Below are 27,323 nucleotides of genomic sequence, written 5' to 3' on the forward strand. Positions count from 1 at the left end.
TATATATATATAGATTTCATATATATAAATAATATATATACATTTATATATTATGTATTATATATACATATATATTATATATACATGTACATTTTAGGGCAGGCCTGGTGATGACAAAATGTCTCAGCATTTGCTTGTCTGTGAAGTATTTTATTTCTCCTTCACTTATTATAATATATATAATATATAAATGTGTATATATATTATACATATATATTTTTTTCAGTTGGAGTCTTGTACTGTTGCCTGGGCTAGAGTGCAATGGTGCGATCTTAGCTCACTGCAACCTCCGCCTCCCGGGTTCAAGCGATTCTCCTGCCTCAGCCTCCCGAGTAGCTGGGATTACAGGCGCGTGCCACCACGCCCGGCTAATTTTTTGTATCTTTAGTAGAGACGGGGTTTCACTATGTTGGCCAGGCTGGTCTTGAACTCCTGACTTCATGATCTGCCCGCCTTGGCCTCCCAAAGTGCTGGGATTACAGGCATCAATATATTTTTTAAATGAGAATCCTAGTTGAAAATCAAGCAAACAATATGGAAAGGTAATTCATAAAACTTATAGGACATACTAGTGGAAAATAAGCATACAAAAATACTGTCCTTTGTATTTCTTGGAAGAGAAATGAATATTAAAATCACAATGAGACAGAATATAGCAAGAAGATTTTGCAAGTCTGACGATGCTAGGACTCCTAAGTAAGCATATGGGGACATAAAATTTCTAGCATTCAGCTAGTGGAATTTTAAATTTGCACAACCACTTTGCAGAGTAATTTGGCAATATTTGAGAAATATATGCATACACTATGAACCAGAAATTATATTAAATACATTCACATATACACATGAGGGTATACATTCATTGCATTCTCTCTACTGTTCTATTAAATATTTCATAATGAAAATATGCTTTCTTTGAAGGTGAAGAATGTTTGCATGTGCATATACCCAGATGAGAAGTAATTTGAATCTTTTTAGCTAACCTGAAAACTTACCATAATTTGTGCTTCTATAACACATTATTTTATTCTTAATTGTGTCACTAATAACCTCTCCACTTTTGGAAAATTGTTCTAGGCATTTATGTTTCCTGTTAGAAAGGGAATTATTGAATAAAAATAATTATATTTCATTCATGTCTTTATCTTCCCCACTATCATCGTCACATATTTTGCATTTAATGTGTGCTCAAAAACATTAAGAGTTTATTTGAGAAGCTTGGCGCTCACTAATCCAGGTCCAGCAAAGAAGCAGGATGTCCTTTGGGGTGAATGTCCAAGAAAGAGTCTTGGAAAACTACCCCTTTGTTTCTGAGCTACATATATGCACAAGCTCTGGTTTATGGATTCTTCTGAATTTTTAGGACTGGATGGAATACTGACAGGATAGTGTTTAGGGACTCATCTCCATTGACATAATTCCATTCCAAACCTCCAGTGTGGGTCGGTATCCCCAGTGTATTGAGACACCTTGGGAACCAGACTGTGAAACTAGAGGCCCGTTACACGGTGCACCCAGAAAGCAAACATGAACGCTTAAAAGTAGCAGTGTGAGACCGGGCACGTTGGCTCACGCCTGTAATCCCAGCATTTTGGGAGGCCGAGGTGGGCGGATCACCTGAGGTCGGGAGTTTGAGACCAGCCTGACCAACATGGAGTAACCTCATCTCTACTAAAAATACAAAATTAGCACGGTGTGGTGACACATACCTGTAATCACAGCTACTCAGGAGACTGAGGCAGGAGAATCACTTGAACCCAGGAGGCAAAGGTTGCGGTGAGCGGAAATTGCGCCATTGCACTCCAGCCTGGGCAACAAGAGCAAAACTCCATCTCAAAGGGAAAAAAAAAAGTAGCAGTGTGTTCCTCAGGATGAAAAGTTTATTTATTTATTTCCAGGGTCTAATATAGTAGTTACTGTCATTAAGAAGATTATGTCTAGTTTTAATGTTTTTTAACTACCCTTTTAATTGTACTTTGGACTAATCTGCTTTTGATCTAATTTTACAAATGTTTAATTGCATTCTGCTCAACCACTAAGAAAGTATTGTGATACACTGTCAGTAGTTTTGATTATATCATAAATTATGTGTTTCTGTCAAATGGTTATTTTCCATGGTTTTCCATGTCTTTTTTTGAGATATATAAGCATAAATAACTTCAAGATATGAATAATACATCAAAGTAGAGCTCAATAGTATTAATCCACTTTTATGTAAAAATAAATTGCTACTTTTTTGGCATTCAATTCCAACTTACTGCCTGTTCACAGTGATATCTGCTCATTTGACATTCTTGAAGAAAAACAGAACTGAGACAGCTGAAACGTATCATTCTTTCTATAATAAAAATCTGAAATATACATCTGTCAGATGACACAGTTTCAGTATAATAGAGGGATACTCAAAAGCCAGAATAATTGATTCAACTTGTATACTTCATTGATTCTTGGCTGGGAATACATAATAGAGCCCAATATCTGGAATAATTCCTTTACCTTTTTTTTGCCTTTTTAAAATTAAATGTTTTATTTTTAGATTTTGTGGGTACATAGTAGTAGTATATATTTCTGGGATACATAAAGTGTTTTGATACAGGAATGCAATGTGAAATAATCACATCATAGAGAATGGGTTATCCATCCCCTCAAGCATTTATTCTTTGTGGTACAAATAATCTTATTATACTCTTTTAGTTATTTAAAAATGTACAACTAAGTTATTGTTGACTACACTCACCCTATTTTGTGTTTAAATAGTATGTCTTATTCATTCTTTTTAACTATACATATTTTGTACCCATTAACTGTTATATAAGTTTGATATATAGAAATCAATGTAGTTGTGATTGACACCAAAGTCCTCTGATCAACAGCCATTTGCAACCTTTTTCTCCTATGTAGCCATCCCACTACAGAAACTATGAAACTTAATCACTCATGTTCCAAGGTTCCTTTGCTTTTATGGGTGCTGAAGCAGCTTGGTACTAGCCCATATAAGAGAAATTGACTGGAGGAAAGAGGTTCTGTGCAGGTTTTGATTTTCCAACAAAAGGGACAGAAAGCCTTAAGTATAAATGTCTCCTGGTGTTCACAGTTACATGAAAAACCTGAGGCACCACACATGGCAGGAAGAGCAAGAGTGCATCAAAGAGGTTGGCTCTGCCACTGTATGAATGCCGACAGACACTATATTCACACTTCTATTTTTAAGACATTATAAATAGGCTGATATTGTTTGGCCCTGTGTCCCCACCCAAGTCACATCTCAAATTGTAATCCTCACATGTCCTGGGGAGGGGCCTGGTGGGAGGCGATTGAATCATGGGGGTAGACTTCCCCCTTGCTATTCTTGTGACAGTGGGTTTTCATGAGATCTAGTTGTTTGAAAGTGTGTGGCACTTCCTGCTTCACGCTCTCTCTCTCTCTCTGCTGCCGCCACAAGAAGACATGCCTTGCTTCCCCTTTGCCTTCTGCCATAATTGTAACTTTCCTGAGACCCCCAAGTCATGCTTCCTGTCAAACCTGTGGAACTGTGAGTCAAATCTCTTTTCTTCATAAATTACCCAGTTTCAGATAGTTCTTTACAGCAGTGTGAAAACAGATAATGCAAAGGCTAAAATCTGCTCACAAACAAAAGGTACTTCTAACTCAAACACCAAATAAATAATCTTTCTATTAATCTGGTTACTTGATTTATAAAGAATTAGTTTCTATTTTTTCACATATCTCTTACAATCACATACTACTTTTAATTTTTTCTTTATAGTTCAGATTCTCACATCTTATGCCAGAAATTCAGTTAGCACCTTTGTCATTAGAGCATTAGATGAAAGAGTGCATTTAGCTGATAATGGGTCCATTACCATCTGTTCTCTGTGTCTCATCCATCTTGTCTTGACACAATCTACCCCAAGTATAAAATCTGGGTCCATAAGATAAAGGGATAAGCCTCTGAATAGTTCTGGCTAACAGAAACTTTCTTCATGATAGCAATGCCCTTTAGTGTGCTGTTCAAAATGGTAGTCACTAGTCACATTTAGCCATCAAGCATATGAAATATGGTCAGCACAAATGAAGAACACAAATGTTAATATTACTTAATTAAAATTGAATATGTCTTTGCCTTGTGACTACCATATTGGACAGTAGAGACTACAGAAACCAAGAGAGAGCAGTCTAAGTTCACTATGACTAGGGCTTTCAGACTAAATTTTAGACTTAGTTGTCTCTGGTGACTTCCCGTCTAACCAAATTTGCACATGTTCTTCAGACTTAAGTTTCTAAAGCACTAGGTGATTTCACCTGGTTGTTCAAAAGCTGTATGGGATACTCATGCCTTAAAAAATTAAATTTCAACTTCTGATATTGACATTCAAGATTCTTCATAACTTAGACTCTCTTTTTCTCCTGAAGTTCCTCCATATATATGTTTACTTTTACCAAAATGGTCTACTCATTGTTTTCTAATACATTCATAATTTTCTTTCCTGTTTTGCAGTATTTTACCACCTGCGATGTCCTGCACGTGTCCATAGGTCAAATTAAAAAGTTTTGTTATCTTAACAATATTAATTCTCTAATTCATAGACATAGAATGTCTTTCCATTTATTTAAGTCATCTTTAATTTTTCTAAACAATATTCATTGCTTCTAGCATAAACATTTTTCAGCTCCTTTGTTAAATTTATTCATAAGTATTTTTGTTAAATTTACTCAAAGTATTTTATTCTTTTTTGATGGTAATAGAGTCATTTCCTTGATTTTTTTCATTTTGCTTATTACTAGTTTATAGGAGTATAATTGAATCTTATATATTGATGTCATATTTCTGCAATGTTATTGAACTTGTTTATTATTTCTAGTAGTTGTTAGTGGGGTTCTTAAGACTTCCTCTATATAAGATCATGGTTTTCTTCAAACAGAAATAACTTTACTTCCTTTCCAAACTGAACAAACTGAATGCTTTTTTTTTTCATTTTCTTGCCTTATTGCATGGCTAGAACTTCCATCACGTAACTGAAGTGTTGAGAGTGGGCATCCTTGTTTTGCTCCTGATCTTAAGGGCAAAACATTGTTTTACAATATTAAATGATTATATTAGCTTTGGGTTTTACATAAGCGCCATTTTCAAGTTGAGAAAATGTCCCTCTATTTCTAATTTGTTGAGAGTTTTCATTGTGAAAAGATGTTAAATTTTGACAAATGCAATTTCCACATATTTAAGATAATTTTGTGAGTTTTTTGCCCTTTATTCTATTGATATTGTGTATTATATTAACTGACTTTAAGATGTAAAACCAACTTTTCAGTCTTGGGATAAATTTCACTTGGCTGTGCATATATCATATATATGTTGCTGTGTCCTGTTTGCTAGTATTAATTGAAGATTTTTGGATCTATATTCATAAGAGATATTGGTCTTTGATTGTAGTATATTTGACTGATTTGGGTATTAGAGTAATACTGGCCTCATGGAGTTTGTTTGAAAGTGTTCCCTTTTCCTGTGTTCTTTGGGGGAGTTTGCAGCAGTTCTAGAAGGGAGGTTTATAGCAAAAAAAAAAACACATCAAAAAAAGAAAGATTTCAAATAACCTAAAGTTACACCTCAAGGAACTAGAAGAAGAAGAACAAACCAAGCACAAAGTTAATGGAAGGAAGGACATACTAAAGAACAGAGCAGAAATAAAAGTAATAGAAACTAGATCAACAGTAGAAAAGATCAACTAAGAGTTGGTTTCTTGAAAAAAAAAACACAATTGCAAACCTTCAGCTGGACTAAGAAAAAAAGCCTCAAATAAATAAAATCAGAAACGATAGAGGATATATTAAAACTGATACCACAGAAATGCAAAGGATCATAGGAAACTACTATGGACAATTTTATACCAACAAATAGGATAACCTAGAAGGAATGGATACGTTCCTAGACACATACAACCTACCAAGATTTAATTACAACAAAATAGAGTATCTTAAGCCCAGCTGAATTCTACCAAACATTTCAAGAAGAACTATCAGTCTTCTCAAAACTTTCCAAAATAGTTAAGAAGAGGCAACACTTTCAAACTCATTTTTCAAGGCCAGTTTGATCCTGATATTAAAGCTTTATGAGGATACTACAAGAAAATAAAACTACAGGTCAATATTCCTCATGAACATAGATGCAAAAATCCTAAAAATATATAGCTAACTGGGCTGGGCATAATGGCTCACACCTGTAATCCCAGACAGGGTTTCACCATGTTGGCCAGGCTGGTCTCGAACTCCTGACCTCAGGTGATCCACCTGCCTCAACCTCCCAAAGTGCTCGGATTACAGGCATAAACCACAACACCTGGCAATTTCTGCCTTTTGATCAGGTTTTTAGACTAATTTTAAAGTGAATATATTTCTCTCAGTCAGCTCCCTAAGCATGAAAGAGTACATTGTGACAAAATTTATCCTTACCAAGTGTGTATGGTATACTAGTGCTGCTTAATATTATAGCTAAAAAACTGTTATATTTTTGTTTTGCTTTACTACTACAGGAAGCCTTGAACCTATTTTGTTTTTGATGTTATACAATAAAGTGATATGAACTTTAAACTATATTATTACAAAGTAGACGCTGCTTTTGCTCTCCAGCCAGGATACTTTAACATCTGTCTCAACTTTCCTTGCACAAAAGAATATTAAAAATGTGTTTTGAGAATGAAAATAGCTGCTATAATAGGCTTAACAAGTCAATGTTGGATTTTTTCAAATATCTCAATTGCAGAAGCAGAAAAGTAGTGTCATGTTGATGTAGAAGATAACACATATACTATATGTATTTATCTTTCCCTACAAATTTTCAATCTGATTATTGGGTTCTTAGTTATTGAATATTGATTCCCCTTGCTTGCTTCTATTTTTAATGTTTGTTGATAACTAACCTCAAGTATAGACTGGATTTCTGTTCCAGTCTCAGTACACAGTCAAGCATGCAAAGCCCAGTGTCCATGCCCAGTCTCTACTTTGGAAAAGGGGCAGCCCCCTGAGCTCTGTGATACTCCCAGACATACCCATTATCTGTCTTGGCCTTTCTACTCCACAGGTAATTTAGGATTTTGTGCTAGTGTGTTTGTTGTAGGCCTGAGATTTGCATGTGTTTTGGCGTGGGGGTTGGGGGAGGGTAAGGGCAAATCTGATGGTTTGTTGATACTATCAAAAAGAAACAAGCTCACTTACGTTCCTAATCCCAGTCTTTGGAAACTTAAAACTGTATAGATTCTTTGTAGACCTACATCAACAAGACCACTTTTCTGCTTTTGCAATTGAGATATTTCATGATCATACTATTTAAATGGCTGTAACAGAGGTCTTTATTTTTTGTCTGGTTGTTCTAGTGTCATAGCGTTTGCAAAAAATATTTGAAGATGGTGAAAGTGTTGTGGGTGGCCTCCCAAAATTATAGCTGGTTTTGAAACTACCACTGTTGCTGCTACCCATAGAGCATCTTGCTACTTGGAACACTGCCGAGGGCTTCGAGTCAACATGACTTCATATTTAAAGGTCAGCTCAGGTTTTTGGAAGTCAAGCCACTCCATTTTGGACTGCCATCCGCAACCCTGAAGCCAGTGTGGTGTGCTGGCTCCTGTAATTTCCTAGCTGTTAATGTAATGACACATGGCTTCCAACTGTGCTTCAGTAAATTGCTTCTTCTTAAGATCCTTTACCATTCTTGGATCTCATAGTGCACACATATTTCAGTTTTAAAGCAAAAAGAAAAGGAAGAAAGAAAAAAATTCTATCTTATTGCCTGAAGGTAATTGTGTAAAAGAGCCATTCCCGCATCGTGATACAAAGACTGGCTCATATTTCATGCTGATTTCTTCCCTTTGCTCACACAGGAATCTCCAGCAGTGACAAGAAGAACACATGAATATTTCATCTATAATCAAGAAAGTTAGTTTATACATTAAACACTTTCAGGAGATACATATTTTATATGTCTAATTAATAAATTTAACATCCATTTAGTCCAACAAAATCAGTTTAGAAGACCAAAATACTCTATTGTGGCCTTCGTCACTTACAAATAGGAAGTGATTAAATAAACGAATACATTATTTATAAAATTTTCTCTTCAAGATTGCAGAAAACTCACTCATACCATGGGAATTCTTTGAATAAAAATATAATTCGTATCTTTTCCATAGCCTACTATCATGGATATATATTTGTCAGGAGAAATGATTTTAGTTAACTTATGCAAATATGAACTGTTTTTAAGAAGAATGGATGAGAGCAAAAGAAAATTTAAATAATTCATAAATGTCAGAGTTTTACAGAAACCAAATGAAGGATTTTAACATGAGGGAAATGAGAAGATAGTGGATTCCATTAAAAGAGACGTGTACTAAAAGTGACTGGGGAGAAATCTGATTCTTGCAACCCAAACTGCTTTAAATTTTTCAACATGCCATCAGTCACAATATATAAACCAAAGAATCTACTCCTAAGAATTGGTTTATTTACTGGCCCTGTTTTCACATAACAGTAATTAAACCCATTTATAATAAATATGAAAGGATTTGGAACTATTTGCAGCAACTAATGTAAACAGTGTTCTTTACAAAAATAAAGACAAAATAAAGAATTCATGGAGATCCAGATGCCTGGATTTTCTAATCTGGATTATTTTAATGGAGTGAAGAAATCATAACTGTATTTTGTCACGGGAGGAGAGTGCAGAAGGATCTTAACCAAATGTTTAGGATTTGCTTTTGCAGTTTTGTAAAATATAAAATGTATAATTTATGCATTAAAAATATGTAGTTGGTCACCAGGGACAGCGGCTCATGCCTGTAATCCCAGCACTTTGGGAGACCAAGGCAGGCAGATCATTTGAGGTCAAGAGTTCGAGACCAGCCTGCCAACATGGTGAAACACCGTCTCTACTAAAAATTCAAAAATTAGCTGGACTTGTTGGTGCGTGCCTGTAATCCCAGCTACTTGGGAAGCTGAGGCAGGAGAATCACTTGAACCTGGGGGATGGAGGTTGCTGTGAGCCGAGATCATGCCCCTGCACTCCAGCCTGGGTGACAGTGCCTCAAAAAAAATTAAACTAAAAAAAATGAAAAGAAATGCAGTTTGAGTGGAGGTAGGAGAAAGGTCAGACAAGACTCTGGGACTATATATATACACACACAAATATATACAAGCATATACACATGCATACACAAATACATATATGTACATGATACACACATACACTGTGTGTATGTATATTCCAAAGAAACTTTGCTTCTGTGACAGTATCAGTCAAATAAGTTGGTTTGCATGACTCTTCTATTTCATTTAAACTTCAAATCCTTTGAGAGCTTAGGAGGACATCCTTTACATTTTCTGCTGCTTAACATCTGAGGCAACATGATATTCAGTACTCTTAAGAAGCAGTGTTGCTTTCTTTCAAGGTATATGACTGACTTTTAACATACGGTCCCATGCCACAAGGCCGTGACTATACATACTGGTTATAAAACAGGCAGTATACATTTTGGCCAACATTATGCTCTTTTTGTTTTTTTTTTTGTTTTTTGAGACGGAGTCTCGCTCAGTCACCCGGGTTGGAGTGCAGTGGCACGATCTCGGCTCACTGCAAGCTCCACCTCCTGGGTTCAAGCCATTCTCCTGCCTCAGCCTCCCAAGTTGCTGGGACTAGAGGCACCGGCCACCATGCTGGGCTAATTTTTTATATTTTTTTGTAGAGATGGGGTTTCTCCGTGTTAGCCAGGATGTTCTCGATCTCCTGATCTCATGATCTGCCCTCTTCGGCCTCCCAAAGTGCTGAGATTATAGGCCTGAGCCACCGCGCTCCACGTTTTTTTTTTTTTTTTTAGAAGGTGTCTTACTCTGTCACTCAGGCTGGAGTGCAGTGGCACAATCTCGGCTCACTGCAACCTCCGCCTCCTGAGTTCAAGTGATTCTCTTGTCTCAGCCTCCCGAGTAGCAGGGATTACAGGTGTGCTCCACCATGCCTGGCTAATTTTTGTAATTTTAGTAGAGACGGGACTTTGCCATGTTGGCCAGGCTGGTCTCAAACTCCTGACCTTGGGTGATCCACCTGTCTCGGCCTCCCAAAGTGTTGGGATTACAGGTGTGAGCCACTGTGCCCGGCCTCATGCTCTCTTTTTTTAAAGATACTATTTCAAATGCCTTGTCATTCCCAATAGTGGTGATATCTCAATAGACGGGTGATTCCTAAGCCGTCATCAACTAGAAGGCTCTACTTAGGTGTTTTTTCCCCACTGGGTATTTTTATAACCCTCCACTGCTAGTGCAGAGGGGAGACAGTGACTAAAGGACTGTCACCTTCTTTCCAAAATGTTCTAAGATTCAAGCTTATTTCTCACATTTTCCATTACTCCCTTCCACCCCAAACGCCTACGGTGGCGCGGCCTATGCATCAGAGTCCTGTGTGCCAAGTGTTCTGTGCTTACCTGTGGTCAGAGAGAACTGCAGAGGCTAAAAATAGAAATCATTCAGATATGATCAAAGTGAACTAATGCTCATCACTCAATTATACTTCACAATTATAACTGCTTTCCACAAGTTTTGATATATATATTTTTTTTACTTTTTAGTTTTGGGTTCAGTCTAAATATTTTATAATTTCCATTCTAATCTCTTTTTTTATGAAAGTGTATTTTTTATGAAAGTGTATGTATATGCTATCATTTTGTTAATTATTAGTTTTCTATTTTGATTGTATTTGTTATGAAGTAACATACAATGTAAAATACCACTTGGTCACTGAAATTTGTTAAAATACAAAGTGCAGCACAGGGTCAGTTTTTCAAAATGTTTCTTATTTTCCACCAGCTCCATTCCTTCTCTTAGTATCCTTCAGAATTTTTTACTATCTTAAAATCTTGGGGTGCTCATAATCCTGTTTGTTGTGACTCTTGATTAATCTGTGTGATGTGCCATTTCCTCATATGGTTTGTGATTTCTTTATTGGGACAGGGCAACTGTTCACATCCGTTTCCTAGCTTGGGATTTCCAAACTTTAAGGCTAGTGTCAATTTGGTTGCAGACTTCCACAGGCCATGAGATAAGAGTTTCTTCTATCCCAAGCTGGAATAGAAAGGACCTTCTCTGCAGCATCCCTGGACTGGAGATCAGATTTTCCAGGTATCCTCCATGGGAAGGACGTCCTAAGGAAGCAACTTGGTTTATGCTCATAGTGTTGTCCTGGCCCCAGGCTGCACCATCCAATCCCGAGTGTGAATTTAAAACACCAGCCTCAACTTTACTGGGCCCTATATCTGACTTTATTTTGCCCCTGGCTTGCCTTTTATATCTCTTGATTTAGGTTCCTTCTGTTATAAAACTCAGAGATTTTCTGTGTTTTTTTCTCTCATATTGAATTACATATTTCATGTTCTGTATCACATTTTGTTCAGCATTTTAGAAATGTGAAACAGAACAGGATTCTGGTTAGTTCAGTTTTCCATGTCATTAGAAATTTGGGGCATGGGTTTAAAACATAAAACGTAGTCTTGCAGGCTCTTTGCACTTCTAGTGTCTGGGCTTTGATTTAACACTGGCCACTAGGGCTCCTTGTCTTTACTGTGCTTGGTTCATTACCATGATCAAATTGGAATGTTCTCCAGATTCATCAGCATAGATCTGTGTGGCTCCAGCCTGCTCCTTCAGCTCTGCCTCCATGCTCTGTCCTTCAGAGTTACTGGCACATCCAGTTCATGTGTTTTAGCTTTATACATTTTTTCTTTCTTTTGTGGGCAAACAATATCATATTGTCAATCACATATTCCATTCCCTGACAGCTAGTCATGTTGTTTCTTTCACATGCTTTTCCAAAAAACAGATTACTTGATACTTTCCACTTCTAAACAATTCTAAATTTCTAAAAATCCAGGTTCTTTTCTAACTTGACTTAGTTCCTTTTCTCTCAAGATATCATTACCACTTCACATGTGTAAGTCTTATCAGATTACGTAGCCTTTACCCAGCTCATTTATTTTGATGTGGTACTTTCTTTAACAATCTGATTAATGGAAATTTCTACTACACACACACAAAGGCACATACACACATATACATACACACACACACACACACACAACCTAAAACTAAAAATAATCATTGCACTTAGACTGGAGAAATGAAGGGCAGGGTATATATATCCTTGGGAAATACTTGAAATTTTTACCATTTGCAATATTATTTTCAAGAATAAAAACATTAAAAACATAGACAAATAAGTGTTGTAAAGTAAAATATACAAAGCAAAAAGCAATTTATATGACTAAATTATAATGATGTCTATAAAGTTGGCTGAATTTTCAAGTTTTCTTGTCAATCGACATACAGTTTTTAAAATCCTCATGTAGTCAATCCAGTTCTATTTTAAATGATAATTTCATTCTGTTATTTTAATATTTGTTTATGTTATATGAGCCAGTCATATTAACCATGTGACATCCAAGTTAACATGTGGTCAGTGTGTAAAAAATAAAATGAGCAATCACATAGGTCTTGCTTAAATGGCAGTAAGATGAAACAACGGCAAATGAATATTATGAGAAAACTAAACTTAAAAGTTCGTTCGTAATTGTCATTTTTTGTTTGTTTGTTTGTTTGTTTGTTTGTTGAGACGGAGTCTCGCTCTGTCGCCCAGGCTGGAGTGCAGTGGCGTGATCTCAGCTCACTGTAAGCTCCGCCTCCCAGGTTCACGCCATTCTCCTGCCTCAGCCTCCCCAGCAGCTGGGACTACCAGCGCACACCACCACGCCTGGCTAATTTTTTGTATTTGTAGTAGAGACGGGGTTTCACCATGTTAGCCAGGATGGTCTCGATCTCCTGACCTTGTGATCTGCCCGCCTCGGACTCCCAAAGTGCTGGTATTACAGGTGTGAGCCACCGTGCCCGGCCAGTAATTGTCATTTGTTACTGTCATCTGCAGGTAAGCTTACTGTGACTGTTTCTGAGAAACACATTACACTTACATTCATAAGATTTAGCTGCATTTCACAATGTTGGGCCTTAAAAGGCCACCAAATGTCAAGCATCTGAGATTTGTTAGGTTTTATCTTTTAAAACTTAGTATAATTAAAAATTATTTTGGATTTTGAAAGGCCATGAAATATGAAACTTTTATGGCATATTAGGATTTATCCTTTGAAACCTTTTTAGTAAAAATTAATTTGGATCTTGGGAATCATTAACACATTTTAAAACGATGAAATACACTACAAACTCTAGAAACATCTTTCCTCATTCATGATACAAAAGCCACCAGAATATTTTCTCTAAAACTAATACTGCATTTTACAAAAGGACTCTAAATATTGGGAAATGATGCCTATTTTTAAAAGTTTATTTTGTAATTGAAAAACAGTAGCACTCTCTCTTCGAGGCCCTCTCTTGGCAGGACACTACATGAAATCTTTCCTTAAAGGGTTTGGCTGTCATGGTGGCTTATGCTTGTAATTCCAGTGCTTTGGGAGGCTGAGGAGGGAGGACAGCTTGAGGCCAGAAGTTTGAGATCTGCCTGGGGAACACAGTGAAACCCTATTTCTACAAAATTAAAAAAAAAAAAACAATTAGTTGGACATGGTGACGTGCACCTGTAGTCCCACCTACTCAAGAGGCTGAGATGAGACTATTGCTTGAGCCCAGGAGGTGAAGCTGCAGTGAGCCGTGAAGGCACCACTGCACTGCACTCCAGCCTGGGTGACAGAGTGAGACCTTGTCTCAAAAAAAAAAAAAAAAAGTCTTGGCACAAAGTATTCTTTAAAAAGATCTATCAACCCCACATATGGGTACATATTTTTATATCAGATTTTAAAGGCTCTGATCTAATATGAAGTGAAAATCACCTAAATTACTTAATACTCAATTCTGAGTATAAATACACTTGTCTATGGGGTTCTGTGTCAAATGCTGTAAGAAAGTGCCCAAATTAGAAGAACCCCACAGTAACACCTTTTGTAAAAGTCAGAAACACTTTCAAGTCTGCTTATAGTAAATTCAGATTGCTCCTGAATTTCAGGCTTGGTTATATTTCAATTTTGACATCTCAGGAATGGCAATAATGCCAAGTAAGAGGAAGGTGGATATTGAGCAGTTCTACTTTAAAGTCTCTTTCTCTCAGAGAGTTTGCATTTTTCAGCCACATGCAGAACTAACAAGCTCCCTAAAATAATGATATTCCTTCACTGACTTTTTCCTTATGTCCGAGGACTTAGCGACTAATGATGGTTAAGATAAGTGCCTTCCCAGCAAAGTCTGACAATTGTCTAGGTTGTAGATCTGAGAAAGGGGGGTCAGTGGGGAGAACAGCATCACAACATTGTCACGAATGTATCACAGACCCTTCCAGATGTTTTCTGTAAGTGCAAAACTCATTATTTCAAAATTCCTGCAGATATGAAACCTTGAAACCTCTCTGAATTCCAAAATTAGAGATTTTCCACAATACTCATATATTTTTTAAATATTCCATGATATTCTTTTTATTTCCAGGTGTGGCATATAAAACTGACAGCTTACAGTAAGAAATATTTCTTATGATCAAACACTTCATATGCACTTTATTGCTTTTAGTTTTGAATTATTTCAAGGTATGTTAGAAAATGAAAAAATAAAAGATCGTAAGTATATGTAAGATTAGATGAACTAAGTTGCTTAAGTCAGTGGTTTCCATATCAACAATGTGACTACAAGTTAAAAGTTCTGAAGTCCTAAATGTCTCTTCCTGAGAAATTTCCCATTTGGGGCTCAACAGCACAAAACTTTTATTAGCGCTTCTCTGGGGAATCACTTGGCATTCCTCGGTCTCTGCAAACTGGACAGCAGGTTCCTTTCACCAATTCAGGACTGGGACAGGGAGCCGGGGGACAAATCTCCACCACACAGGTGACCTGGCCACTCTGAAAGGCAGCATGCACATATCACCTCCATGTTTCTTATAATCAAAGTACTTAAAAGACAAATAAATGTTTCTTATAATACATAATCTAATAAGCTGACTGTCTCAATATAATAAAAAATGCTCATAGTATGAGCTCATTTTTGCATGGTTTCTATTCATTCTTTCTTTCTATACATTTGCAGCACGAACAGCAAGCCTGCCCTATAAAATGTTACCTACCTTACTGTACCATATGGTAGGATTAGCTGAGGAAGTTCATGCATTTCTACATGGCTGGAAAGAATCAGCTCTGTTCAAAAAGCAAACTAAATAACGAATACAGAGCATTTTTATTTTCTTTTGTTTTGGTAGACACCATGATAACACTTTTTTATTTTTCCATAGAATTGTGTAGGTTTACCAAGTGCCTTTAGGCAGCATTTATAATGAGCCTGACTGAAGAATAATGAGATGAACTCAAGTCCCAGGTTGGCTCAGTTTACTTACTGACATAAACTTCCTTAGCCTTGGTTCCCTCGTCCATCAGTGAACATGGAAAAAGCTCGTGGTCTCTAGCGACTGCTCATTAGATTGTGACTATACTCTTTTATTAATAAGCAAAAGCCTCAAAATTTCACACCAGTACCTTGATCTTAAAAATATGCCTAGAATCTATTGACATAAAATATATTTTTTCTCCTTTTGAATTTTTCAAGTATGCTTCAACTGGCTGGCTAGAAGTGAAATGGGGAGTTGGACTGGAAAACTCGCAGCACAAACCTCACAAATGCAGTGAGTGCAGTCTTCTTTCATCCAGCGCTCCTCGGCCTTCCTTGGAACCCCTCTAACATCTGTACACCCTGCCTGCCTCAGGCGTGCCTCCAGCTTGTTTATCTGAAAGGGGAGGCAAAGGAAAGAAGAGTGGAAATTGAAGCGGATAGCAACAAAGCCAATCAATAACATGGTTTGATGAAATGCTCTATTCTGTAAGCACACACCTAGAAGGCAAAAGAAACTTCAAAGCCTACATAATTTTTCATTTTCCCCCAGGACTTAATGAGCTTGAATCATCCAGTATCCAAACAAATAAACAGTTCTGTAGGTGTTAAAAAATATTGAACATGGACCTAGAGTATGAAAGAGTTAATTTCTAAAGGAAGGGGAATTAAAATCAAATGAATGAAATTACATATTTGGAAAATCTTCTCAATAAGCACACTTGTAAATTCAACTAATAAGTATTTTATTTATTTTTTGTCCCCCAAGTTGTTATAAAATAATATTTATTTAACAAATATTTATTAAGTTTCAAAGATGAAAGCAAGCAGACCAGGGTCTCTCCAACTTTACAATTTGGTATAAAGGCCAATAAACCACAGCTATAAGCCTTTAGATAATAACGGTCTTTAGGAATCCCAAGGGGAGCAGAAGGGCAGTTGATATGGTTTGGCTTTGTGTCCCCACCCAATCTCATGTTGAATTGTAATTCCAAATGCTGGGGGAGGGACCTAGTGGGAGGTGATTGGATCTTGGGGGCAGATTTCCCCCATGCTGTTCTCGGGGTAGTGAATTCTCATGAGATCTGATGGTTTAAAGGTGTGTGGCAGTTCCTCCCCCATTTGCTCTCTCTCTCCTGCTGCCATGTGAAGAAGGTGCTTGCTTCCCCTTTGCCTTCCACCATGATTGTAAGCTTCCTGAGGCCTCCCAGTCATGCTTCCTGTTAACCCTATGGAACTGTAAGTCAACTAAACCTATTTTCTTCATAAATTGCCCAGTGTCAGGTAGTTCTTTATAGCAGTGTGAGAATGAACTAACACAGAAGCCACACTCAGTTCTGCCTCAGGGAATGAGGGGATGCCTGATATTATGGACTGAACTGTGTTCCCCCAAAATTCATAAGTTGAAGCCGTAATCCCCAATGTGACTATATTTGGGCATAGGGCCTCGAAGGATGTAATTAAGGTTAAATTAGGTCATGGGAGTGGGGCTCTAACCCAATAACATTGGTGTCCTTGTAAAAAAGAGGAAGAGACACCAGATGTGCTCACACAGCGAAGGCCATGTGAGGACACAGGGAGAAGGTGGCCATCAGCAAGCCAAGGCGTGAGGCCTTGGAAGAAACCATCCCTGCTGACACTTTGATCGTGGACTTTCAGCCTCCAGAACTGTGAAAAAACAAACTGTTTTAAGTTACCCATTTTCTTGTATTCTGCTATGGTGCCTGAGCAGACTAATATATGATATATGGAAAAAAGCATTTGAGCTGTGAGAGATGACCATGTCTTTCAGGAGAACAAGCAGGGAAAAGGCATTTCAGGCAAATGGAAAAAAAAAAATATGTGTTAAAGCATGGGTACCAGAAACAGATCAGTATTTCAGAAATGTACATTTCTCTCCCCTCCTTTGTTGGGGAGATCTACAGAGAACATGTTAGTGGGAACTGAGGTGGGATGAGTGGGCAGCAAAGAAAATTAGGCCCTTAAAAGTCACATAAATTAATTAAGTGCAGTCTCCAGGCAATGGGAAATAACATCACAATGATCACTCCTGTGGCAACATGAAGGATCACTGGTGAGAAACTAACATGGAGACCAATATGGGCTCCACTGAGGAAGGAGGGAGTGAGACAAAAAGAGCCATGTAGCAGGTAGAGGAGATTGGCTAGATGTGGGTTTAAGGAGAAGAGGAGAACCCAAAAAATCACGATGAACTCAGACTTCATTTAGAAAGCAAAAAGTCTTGATGTGAAAGAATTTTGATTCTGTAAATTCTTTTCACTGCTTTTGTATTGAAGTAGGACAGGAGGGTTGGTTCTTGGAAGATAATTTAGCATGAGTGCCTACACTTGGGCAGTGGCATCCACCCATTCATTACTCAATAGATATATTCAGTACCTGATATGTACCAGCTAATACACTAATAAACTAGCAGGACTTGACCCCTGACTTTAGGTGAGCAGTGAGAATGGAGAGGATGATAAGACAAATATTACAATGCAGGCTTGAATGACAAGGCTTCACAATAACCAGATGTGAACCAAATAATCCATTCTTGAGTGGGGTCATGGGTTTGAAGTATGAAAATCACAAAAAAATCTCTAAAGATATTAATGAATATGTCCTAGCAGACTAGGACATATAGAAAACTTTTATGTCCAAAAACACTGGGAAAATGCATATCTATTCTAAACTTTAGGCACTTAGGACAGTAAAGCTTTTTCAAATTTAAATAAGCTAACAAATTAATAAATTATTTAAGGGAAATAGTTTTGCTTTTTTTGTTTTGTTTTGTTTTTTGAGACAGTCTCGCTCTGTCACCCAGGCTGGAGTGTAGTGGCACCATCATGGCTCACTGTATCCTCAACCTCCTGGGCTTAAGTGATCATCCCTCCTCAGCCTCCCAGGTAGCTGGAACCACTGGTGTATGCCACCACGTCCAGCTAATTTTTTGTTGTTGCTGTTGTTTTGTAAAGATGGGGTCTCGCTATATTACCCAGGCTGATCCTAAACTCCTGGGCTCAAGCAATCACTCTGTCTTGGCTTCCCAAAGTGCTGGGATTACAGGCTTAAACCACCACACCCTGCTCTAAGAAGGGAAATAAATAGTTTAAGAATCTTGTATGTACCAGGGCTGGGTGCGGTGGCTCATGCTTATAATCTCAGCACTTTGGGAGGCTGAGGCAGGGGGATCACCTGAGGTCAGAAGTTCAAGACCAGCCGGGTCAACATGGTGAAACCCTGTCTCTACTAAATATACAAGAAAATTAGCCGGGCGTAGTGGTGGGTGCCTGTAATCCCAGCTACTCGGGAGGCTGAGGCAGGATAATCATTTGAACCCAAGAGGTAGAAGTTGCAGTGAGCCAAGATCATGCCATTGCACTCCAGCCTGGGTGACAAGAGCAAAACTTCATCTCAAAAAAAATAAAATAAAATAAAATAAAAAAATAAAAAAAAAAAGAATCTTGTACGGGTCATTAGTATAAGAAATACAGTGCGTGGCACTTTTATTCCAGGCTTAACTAAAAAGTCTTGATAATAAAAGGATGTAACTTTCCTTTTCCTATCACCCATGTGTTCATTGTTAGTATACAGAAATGCCATTAATTTTTTCTACGTTTATCTTGGGTTTATGTTGTATCCTGTAACCTTGCTCAACTCATGTATTCATTTTAGGAGTATTTTTGTAGATTCCTTGAGATTTTCTATGTAGGCAGCTGTATCATCTGAAAATAGTTTTATTTCTTCCTTTTCAATCTATAGGCCTTTTCATTTTCTTGACTTATTGCACTGGCAAGAACTTCCAGCATTAGGTTGAATAAGAGTGGTGAGAATGGACATCCTTGCCTTGTTTGCAATACCTTGCAGTTTTATGGGGAAAGCATTCAAGCATTCACCATTCAGCATGTAAATGGCAGGGTAATGTTTCTCTTTTGCTGCTTTCAAAATGTTTTCCTTTTTATTTTGTTGTCAAAAGTGTGACTATGATGTGTCTTGGTGTGCATTTCTTTGGAATTGTCCTTCCCTTCTCTCTTCTTTCTATCCAAGACCTGAATGACACAAATGTTGGATGTTTTATTATAATCCCACAGGCTTCTGAGGCTCTGCTCATCTTGTTTTTGTCTATGCTGTCTCTGTTGTTGAGAATGTATAATTGCTAGTCTTCTATCTTCCAGTTCACTGATTCTTTCCCCTCTGATCCATATTCCGTTTTGAGCCCATCAACTGATCTTTTTTATTTCTGTTATTGTAGTTTTCAGTTCCAAAATCTCCATCTTGTTTCCCTTTGTGTCTTGTATTACTTTGATGAAAATTTTCATCCATTTTTCATTTGTTTCCAGTGTGTTTGAAATTGCTCATTGAAGCATTTTTTATGACTGCTTTATTTATTTATTTGTTTGTTTATTTTGAGACAGAGTCTCACTCTGTTGCCCAGGCTGGAGTGCAGTGGTGTGATCTTGGCTCCCTGCAACCTCCTGCCTCAGCCTCCTGAGTAGCTAGGATTACAGGCATGCACCACCACACCCGGCTAATTTTTGTATTTTTAGTAGAGATGGGGTTTCACCATGTTGGTCAGACTGATCTCAAACTCCTGACCTTGTGATCCACCCGCCTCAGCCTCCCAAAATGCTAGGATTACAGGTGTGAGCCACTGCACCCAGCTTATGACTGCTTTGAAATCTTTTTCAGATAACTGCAACACCTCTATCACTTCAGTGTTGATTGCCTGTTTTCATTCCATTTGGGATCTTCTTGGTTCTTGGTATGATGAATAATTTCGTATTGAAACCTGGAGGTTTTGGATCTTACTTAAGCCTTCTGGTTTAGGTGTTTTCCTCTGAAACTGCTCTGGCATGGGAAGAGGGGTCCCACATCATTACTGCCATGTGGGAATAGAAGTCCAGGTTCCCTCCTTGGCCTCCGTTGACACACAAAGGGGTTCTCTTCATTACTGCTGGGTAGAGTTGGGGTTCTGGCTCCCTGTCAGGCCACCTCATAACCCTCCTGGATGGGAGGCATAGTATTCTGTGACTTCTCCCGACATGGCCTCCATGCACCTCAGGATGGTGAGGGGCAGGGCAGCCTCATCACCCCCTGGTAAATGGAGAGCACCTGGAACCTCCACTAGGCCTTCTCTGCAACCACCCCAGTGAAGAGGGAGGGGAGCTTCATTCCTGCTGGGTTAGGACGGAAGCCCAGGCTCCCCTTATGACCCCAAGTTTTTGCATGCAATCATCTGGCATGATGACCCCCTAGTTTCCTACTTGGCTTTCTCGGACAGCAGCCTCAAGGTGTCCTTAGGTGCCTCAGTATACCCTGGGGAGAGTGAAAGCCACCTCCTCACTTGGCCTTTGCTGGTCTTGCTGGAGGTGGGGGCCACAGTTTCTTCTGTGCTGTTTGGCTGGGGTAGAGTGGTTATTGTCTAGAAGTTACCTGTATTGCTAGGCCTCCACTTTTATGGCCTGTTGTCTAGAGGGACTCAGGTTTTGTTGGGCCTTTTTCTGTGTCTGTTGATGTGCTCAGGTTGCTGGCTTCTTCAGTTTCAAGCCTGAGCTACGTGAGGAAAAACTACCCAGGAAAGAGCATCACATTGTTCCTGGAGCCCAAGGTCCCTGATCAGTCTGCTTTCTTGCTCTTCACCATTCTGAGTCATCTTATGTTTGTTTTAAACGTGATATCCAGGGGTTGTAGCTGTCTATACTATAATCAAGAGGCGTCTGTGTGCGGTGGCTCATGCCTGTAGTCCCAGCACTTTGGGAGGCTGAGGCAGGTGGATCACTTGAGGTCAGGATTTCAAGACCAGCCTGGCCAACATGGTGAAACCCCATCTCTGCTAAAAATACAAAAATTAGCCAAGCGTGGTGGCAGGCACCTGTAATCTGAGCTACTCAGGAGGCTGAAGCACAAGAATCGCTTGAACCTGCAAAGCAGAGGTTGCAGTGAGCCGAGATTGCACCACTGCATTCTAGCCTGGGTGAGTGAGACTCAGTCTCAGAAAAAAAGTAAAAATAAAAGAAAAATAAGCAGGAGGCAAAAATACATCTACTCGGCCTTCCCAGAAATAGAATTCTCATTAGACACTATTTCATGTAACATTTTTACTTAATTTATTCAAACTATTGCAGTTTTAGATTTCCTAAGGATATATAATCAAAAGTGTAGCCTTCTCAGCCTCACTGCATTCCCCAAAAAGCAGCTGCTGTGTCAAAGTAGATAATACTGACAATGATTGCATCATTGTTCTGCATTCCAGAAGTATCCTTATCTGCATGGTTCCTGCTTGGGGTTGAGCTGCATCACTCCCCAAATTCAAATCTTGAGGTCCTAACCCTCTGTACCTCAGAATGTGATATTTTTTGGAAATAGGAGTATTGCAGATGTAACTAGTTATGATAAAGTCAGAGTAGAGTGAGCCCCTACTTCAATATGACTGATGCTCTCATAAACAAAGGAAATCTGAACACAGATTGGCACACAGGGATAATCCCATGTGAACAAAAAGACAGAGATCTACAAGCCAAAAAACATCACATTCTGAGGTACTGTCTAATGAGACTTCTATTGCCTATCTCCTTCTGCAACAGGAAGGTATACTCCATTTAGAGATGCTCCTTCCTCTGGGTTGGAAGATTGAAAAACTGTGGAGGACAGACACAGCTGAACCCCAAAGAGCAAGCAACGTGAGTGAAAAACAATCCTCCTTGTTGCCATAAACCAAGATTTGGGTTGTTACTAGAGCATAACTTAGCAAAACCTGTCTAATTCATGGCTTAATCTAGACCAAGCCGCTGTATAAAACGCCAGTGAAAGAAAAAACTCTCATCACAACAACAAGAATTACCAAGTTATCTTCTTCAGTGATGGCCCTGATACAATCATGTAAGTGTCTTTTCACTGGGAGCTGTACGGAAACAGTTACGGAAAATTTAGAAGAGCTTTCTTATTAACCAATTCATGTTGCTGAAAACCTTTTGTATGCAAAATTAAAAGGGTAATGGAAAGTACTGCAGAATTGTAACTACATAAGCTTGAACTATAAAGTCAAGAGCACTCCAAGACTCAATGTTGTAAAGTTCAATACTTTTGCTCAGTGTACTTAAGATGCATCTCCAAATGTTTTATGCAAGAGCATGGCCCATAAACCTGAAGAACCACATCTCCTACAAGATACCAGGACTTTTAAATTGGCAAAGAAGTCTCTTTGTGTTCAGAAATATGAGTAAAACATAAAGCAACTCCAGCATTAGTTCCAGCATGTGGCAAGCTTGTAAATCATCACTCCCATCCTCACGACAAGAAAAATTGGACACACTGAAAATCAATAAATTTCTTAGAGAGCTAAGGTTGAAGGGCAAACCACTAAGGTGAAATCTGAAGAGACAGGAGGATAACAAGAGAGGCAGCAACCAAGATCTGCTTACCTGGGACAGACTGACTGAGCATTGAGCCATACTGGTGGGAACACCCTGATGGTTAGTTTTATGAGTCAGCTTTGGGAGTGCTTTTGGATGAGATTAACATTTAAACTGGTGAATTCTGGGTAAAGCAGATTGCCCTCCATAATGTGGGTGGGCCTCATCCAGTAAGGTGAAGGCCTGAATAGAACACAAATAGCAGCCTCCCAGAGCAAGACTGACTTCTCCAGCAGATGGCCTTCCACTTCATCTGCACCATCAGCTGTCCTGGGTCTTCAGCCTGTCAGGCCAAGATTTTGGACTGTCCAGCCTCCATAATGGTGTGAGCCAATGCCTTTTAATACACATATCAGATGGACAGACAGACATTTCCTATTAATTCTAGTTCTCTGGAGAACTCTGACTAATGCAAACTCTTAAATGGTAAATTTTAAGAAGTTGCTGGAGGCTTCCTTCACTTTTTTGTTCCAGTCAGGCCCTGAACAAATTGAAGAATGCACCCCTACACTGGGGAAGGGCACCTGCTTTTCTCAGTCCACCAATTCTAATGCTAATCTCTTCAGAAATACTCTCACAGAAACATCCAGAAATATTGTTTAACCAGATAGCTGGGCATCCCACGATCCAGAAATTGACACATAAAATTAACTATCACACTCAAGGTGGCAGGGGAAAGAATCTGTTGACCTGAAGATATGTCAATAGTAACTTCCCGAACTAAAATGCAAAGAGAAAACTGAGAATGAAAAACTAACAGAAAATCTAAGAACTACAGGGCAATATAAAAAATGTGAGCATGACAAACTACTAGGTGTTACTGTCTTAGTGAGGTAAGGTATTCAAGAAGTTTACCTTAAGGAAACTTAAGAGGTTCTCATTGAAGAGATCCAAGAAACAGCCCCTCCTGGCCCTGGCAGCGGGAGGGGAAGATATCCTTCATGAAAAACACCCAAAGCCTTCTCCATAAAAAAGGCCTCTATACCAAGGGAAAGGAACTTGCCAGGGTACAGTACTAAATCCTAAAACAAACTGGGAAAAGGGATTCTAACTCACTGCATCCTACTCCAGGCTTCCTGACTCACTTAATCAGGAAAAAGCCAACAGAAAAACCAGGGGTCAGCCCTTCAGTGAAATCAATTAGCTGCACACCAGCCAGGGAAAGGAGTAGGAGGTGGAGAAAAGGCCACAGTACTGGAGCAATGCTTGTGAAAATCATAGCCTCAGAACATAAGCCCACTAGAAAGCTGAGGTTTCATCAGAGGATGATAAAATATTTCCCATCCCCACACCTGACCAGCACATCAACAGGATGCCAGCATAATAACAGTGATTACTGCTGAAGCAGCTGAAAGACACAGACTCTCTCTGAGGAAGAATACATAAGAAAGGCCAAAGTCAGTAGGAAAAACAAAAACAAAGACACTGGAGGAATTTAAAGCCATGGCATCTACAGCTACAGGAAACACTAAACACAGCACAACAGTCAGCCTTTTCAATACAAAAACCTAAAGCAAAGGCTTATCAACTACAGTTCCTATTACCCAAGACATCATGTATGGCTTTAAACAAAATTTACAAGGCGTGCTCCAAAGGAAGGGAAAAAACACAGTTTTAAGAGGCAAAACAAGCATCAGAAGCAGACCCACATGAGACACAGATGTTGAAATTATCTGGCAGGGATAAAAATAACTATGATTAATACATTCATGACCCTAGTAGAAAAAGTAGGCAACATTCAGGAAAACATGGGTAATGTAAGTAGAGAGATAAAAATGCAAAAGAAGAATTAAAAGAAAATGTTAGAAATCAAAACTATAACAGAAATGAAGAATGCCTTCGATGGCTTCATCAGTAGACGTAATGTATTAGTCAAGATTCTCCAGGGAAATAAAACCAATAAGACGTGAATATAAAGAGATTTACTATAAGGAATTGGATCCATGTTTATGGAGATTGAGAAGGGCCACAATCTTCTGTCTGCAAGCTGGAGACCCAGGAATGTCACTGGTACAGTTCAAAGGCTGGAGAGCCAGAGGACAAATGGTATAGATTAGTCTGAGTCTGAAGGCCTGAGAACCAGGAGTGCTGAGGGCAGGAGAGGCTTATGTCCCAACTCAAGCTGTCAGGCACAGTTAATTCAACCTTCCTCCAATTTTTTGTTCCATTCAGGCCTGAACAAATTGAAGGATGCCCCCCTACACTGGGAGGGGCACCTGCTTTTCTTAGTCCACCAATTCAAATGCTAATCTCTTCAGAAACACCCTCACAGAAACATGAAAAATACTGTTTAACCAGATAGCTGGGCATCCCATGATCCAGAATTTGACACATAAAATTAACTATCACACTCAAGGTTGCAGGGGAAAGAATCTGTTGACCTGAAGATATGTCAATAGTAACTTCCCAAACTAAAATGCAAAGAAAAAACTGAGAATGGAAAACTAATATAAAATCTAAGAACTACAGGGCAATATTAAAAAAAAAATGTGGCTATTCAGCATCCCTTATAATTCCATATGAATTTTCGACAGGCTGTTTCATTTCTGCAAAAACGGTATCTTAGTTTGCTAGGGCTGTCATAACAAAATACCACAGATTGGGTAGCCTAAACAACAGAAATTTACTTTCTCACAGCTCTAGAGGCTGAAAGTCCAAAATCAAGGTGCCAGCAGGGTTGATTTCTTCTCAGGCCTTTCTCTTGGCTTGCAGATGGTTATCAACTACATTCACATTATGAGGTACTGGGGATTAGAACTCAACATGAAAATTTGAGGAAAAGACACAATTTAGTCCATAACACTACACCCTTTGAACCCCTAAAATTCATGTCTTTCTCACATGCAAAATAATCAATTCACCCCATTGCAATAGCCCCTAAAGTCTTAATCCATTCCAAGCCTCAAATCTCATTAAAATATCATCTAAACCAATTATGGGTAAGACTAGAGTATGACTGATCCTGAGAGAAAATTCCTCTCAATCTGTGAACCTGAGAAACCAAACAAGTTATTTGCTTTCAGAATACAATGGATAAGGACTTCCGATAGATGATAGCAGACAGGAGGCAGGACTAGATTGCAGATCCGGATACTGCAGCATTGCGGAGGCTTGCATTGTGAAACTTAACTCCAGATCAACTGCAAGAACAAACCAGCAATCCCGAGAGGATCCACAGACCCTCTGCAGGAAGCAGACTGCTCCTGCAGGACCCAGGAGACACCCCAAATACTGTAAGTGCCCCAACTGCAGAAGTGGGAAAAGGAAACCCTCCTTTCCCGGACACACACCCCCACTGGAGAAGCTTAAGGTCTGTTTGTGGGAGATGTTCCCGACTTTACCTGGAGCTGAGTTGAGTTAGAGAGCCAAGCCAAGTGAAATACAGGGGTGGAGGAGGCAGCAGGGAGGCCCTGGGAGCTCACTGAATCCCCAAGCAGCCCTTTCCTGCCTGACACTGCAGGGATCCATCAGGAGAGAGGCTGGAGGAGCAGGGGATAAAACCGCACTGGAGAGAAGGACTTCCTTAGCTGAACTTTGTAACAATTTCAGTGGGGACAGAAGCTTCCTAGCCAGAACTCTGGGGAGGGCGTGAATCCGGCTTACAGACATCACAGGCAGGGGAAGAACTAAAGCCCTTTTCTTTCGTAGCTGGGAGGCAGAAAGCCTGAAAGCTTCTGGCAAGTTTTCAAGCCTGCCCTCCACCTGGAAACAGACTAGGGGCTGTTGCAGGTGTCACGGTGGGAATGGGACCGGCCCTTCGGTTTGCATGGGAGCTGGATGAGGCCTGTGACTGCCGGCTTTTCCTCACTTCCTCGACAACCTGCATGACTCAGCAGAGGCAGCCATAATCCTCCTAGGTACTAGGTACACAACTCCAGTGACCTGGGAATCTCATCCCCATCCCCCACAGCAGCGCAGCAAGACTGGCCCAAGGAGAGTCTAAGCTCACACACGCCTAGCCCGGCCCCCAACTGATGGTCCCTCCCTACCCACCCTGGTAGTGGAAAACAAAGGACATATAATCTTGGTAGTTCTAGGGCCCAGTCCCTCTCTATACTACTACAGCTGATGCTTTCTGCAGAGCACCACCTCCTGGCAGGAGGTCAACCAGCACAAAAATAGAACATTAAACCACCCAAGCTAAGAAACGTCATGGAATCCACTTCACCCTCTGCCACCTCCACCAGAACAGGTGCTGGCATCCATGGCTGAGAGACCCATAGAGAGTTCATATCACAGATTTCTGTGCAGAAACCACCAGGACCAGCCAGGAGCTGTGTAGACTCGCTGGATGGCTAGACCCAGAAGAGAGACAACAATCACTGCAGTTCAGCTCACAGGAAGCCACAACCATGGGAAAAGGGGGTGAGTACTACATCAAGAGAACACCCTGTGGGACAAAAGAATCTGAACAACAGCCTTCAGCCCTAGACCTTCCCTCTGACAGAGCCCACTCAAATGAGAAGGAACCAGAAAACCAACCCTGGTAATATGACAACACAAGGCTCATCA

The 27,323-nt window shown here is 39.4% G+C and overlaps 1 protein-coding gene across 9 annotated transcripts in view, besides 1 other annotated feature; it reads right to left on the reverse strand.

The window, feature by feature from the left end:
• Nucleotides 1-14,475: 14,475 nt before the first annotated feature.
• Nucleotides 14,476-27,323, reverse strand: part of PXDNL (peroxidasin like) — a 489,869-nt gene continuing 477,021 nt past the window's right edge. For all 9 annotated transcript variants that reach the window (XR_007060701.1, XM_047421364.1, XM_047421365.1 and 6 more), the window contains 2 exons: nucleotides 15,683-15,796; nucleotides 14,476-14,921 (listed from right to left, as the gene is read on the reverse strand). Coding sequence is in view for 8 of the 9 variants with exons in the window: in XM_047421364.1 (XP_047277320.1) it covers nucleotides 14,790-14,921; nucleotides 15,683-15,796 (246 nt within the window). In the remaining variant the exon portion in view is untranslated. The remainder of the gene's footprint in view (nucleotides 14,922-15,682; nucleotides 15,797-27,323) is intronic.
• Nucleotides 25,984-27,183: an enhancer, noted in NCBI's record as "MED14-independent group 3 enhancer chr8:52243645-52244844 (GRCh37/hg19 assembly coordinates)". NCBI's record gives its function as "activates an origin of replication core promoter dependent on BRD2, BRD4, P300/CBP and CDK7 cofactors, and independent of MED14, by STARR-seq in HCT116 cells {active_cell/tissue: HCT116}" and the evidence as "EXISTENCE:reporter gene assay evidence [ECO:0000049][PMID:35650434]".

This window comes from Homo sapiens, chromosome 8 (assembly GCF_000001405.40).
Source record: "Homo sapiens chromosome 8, GRCh38.p14 Primary Assembly".
Classification (NCBI taxonomy): Eukaryota; Metazoa; Chordata; class Mammalia; order Primates; family Hominidae; genus Homo; species Homo sapiens.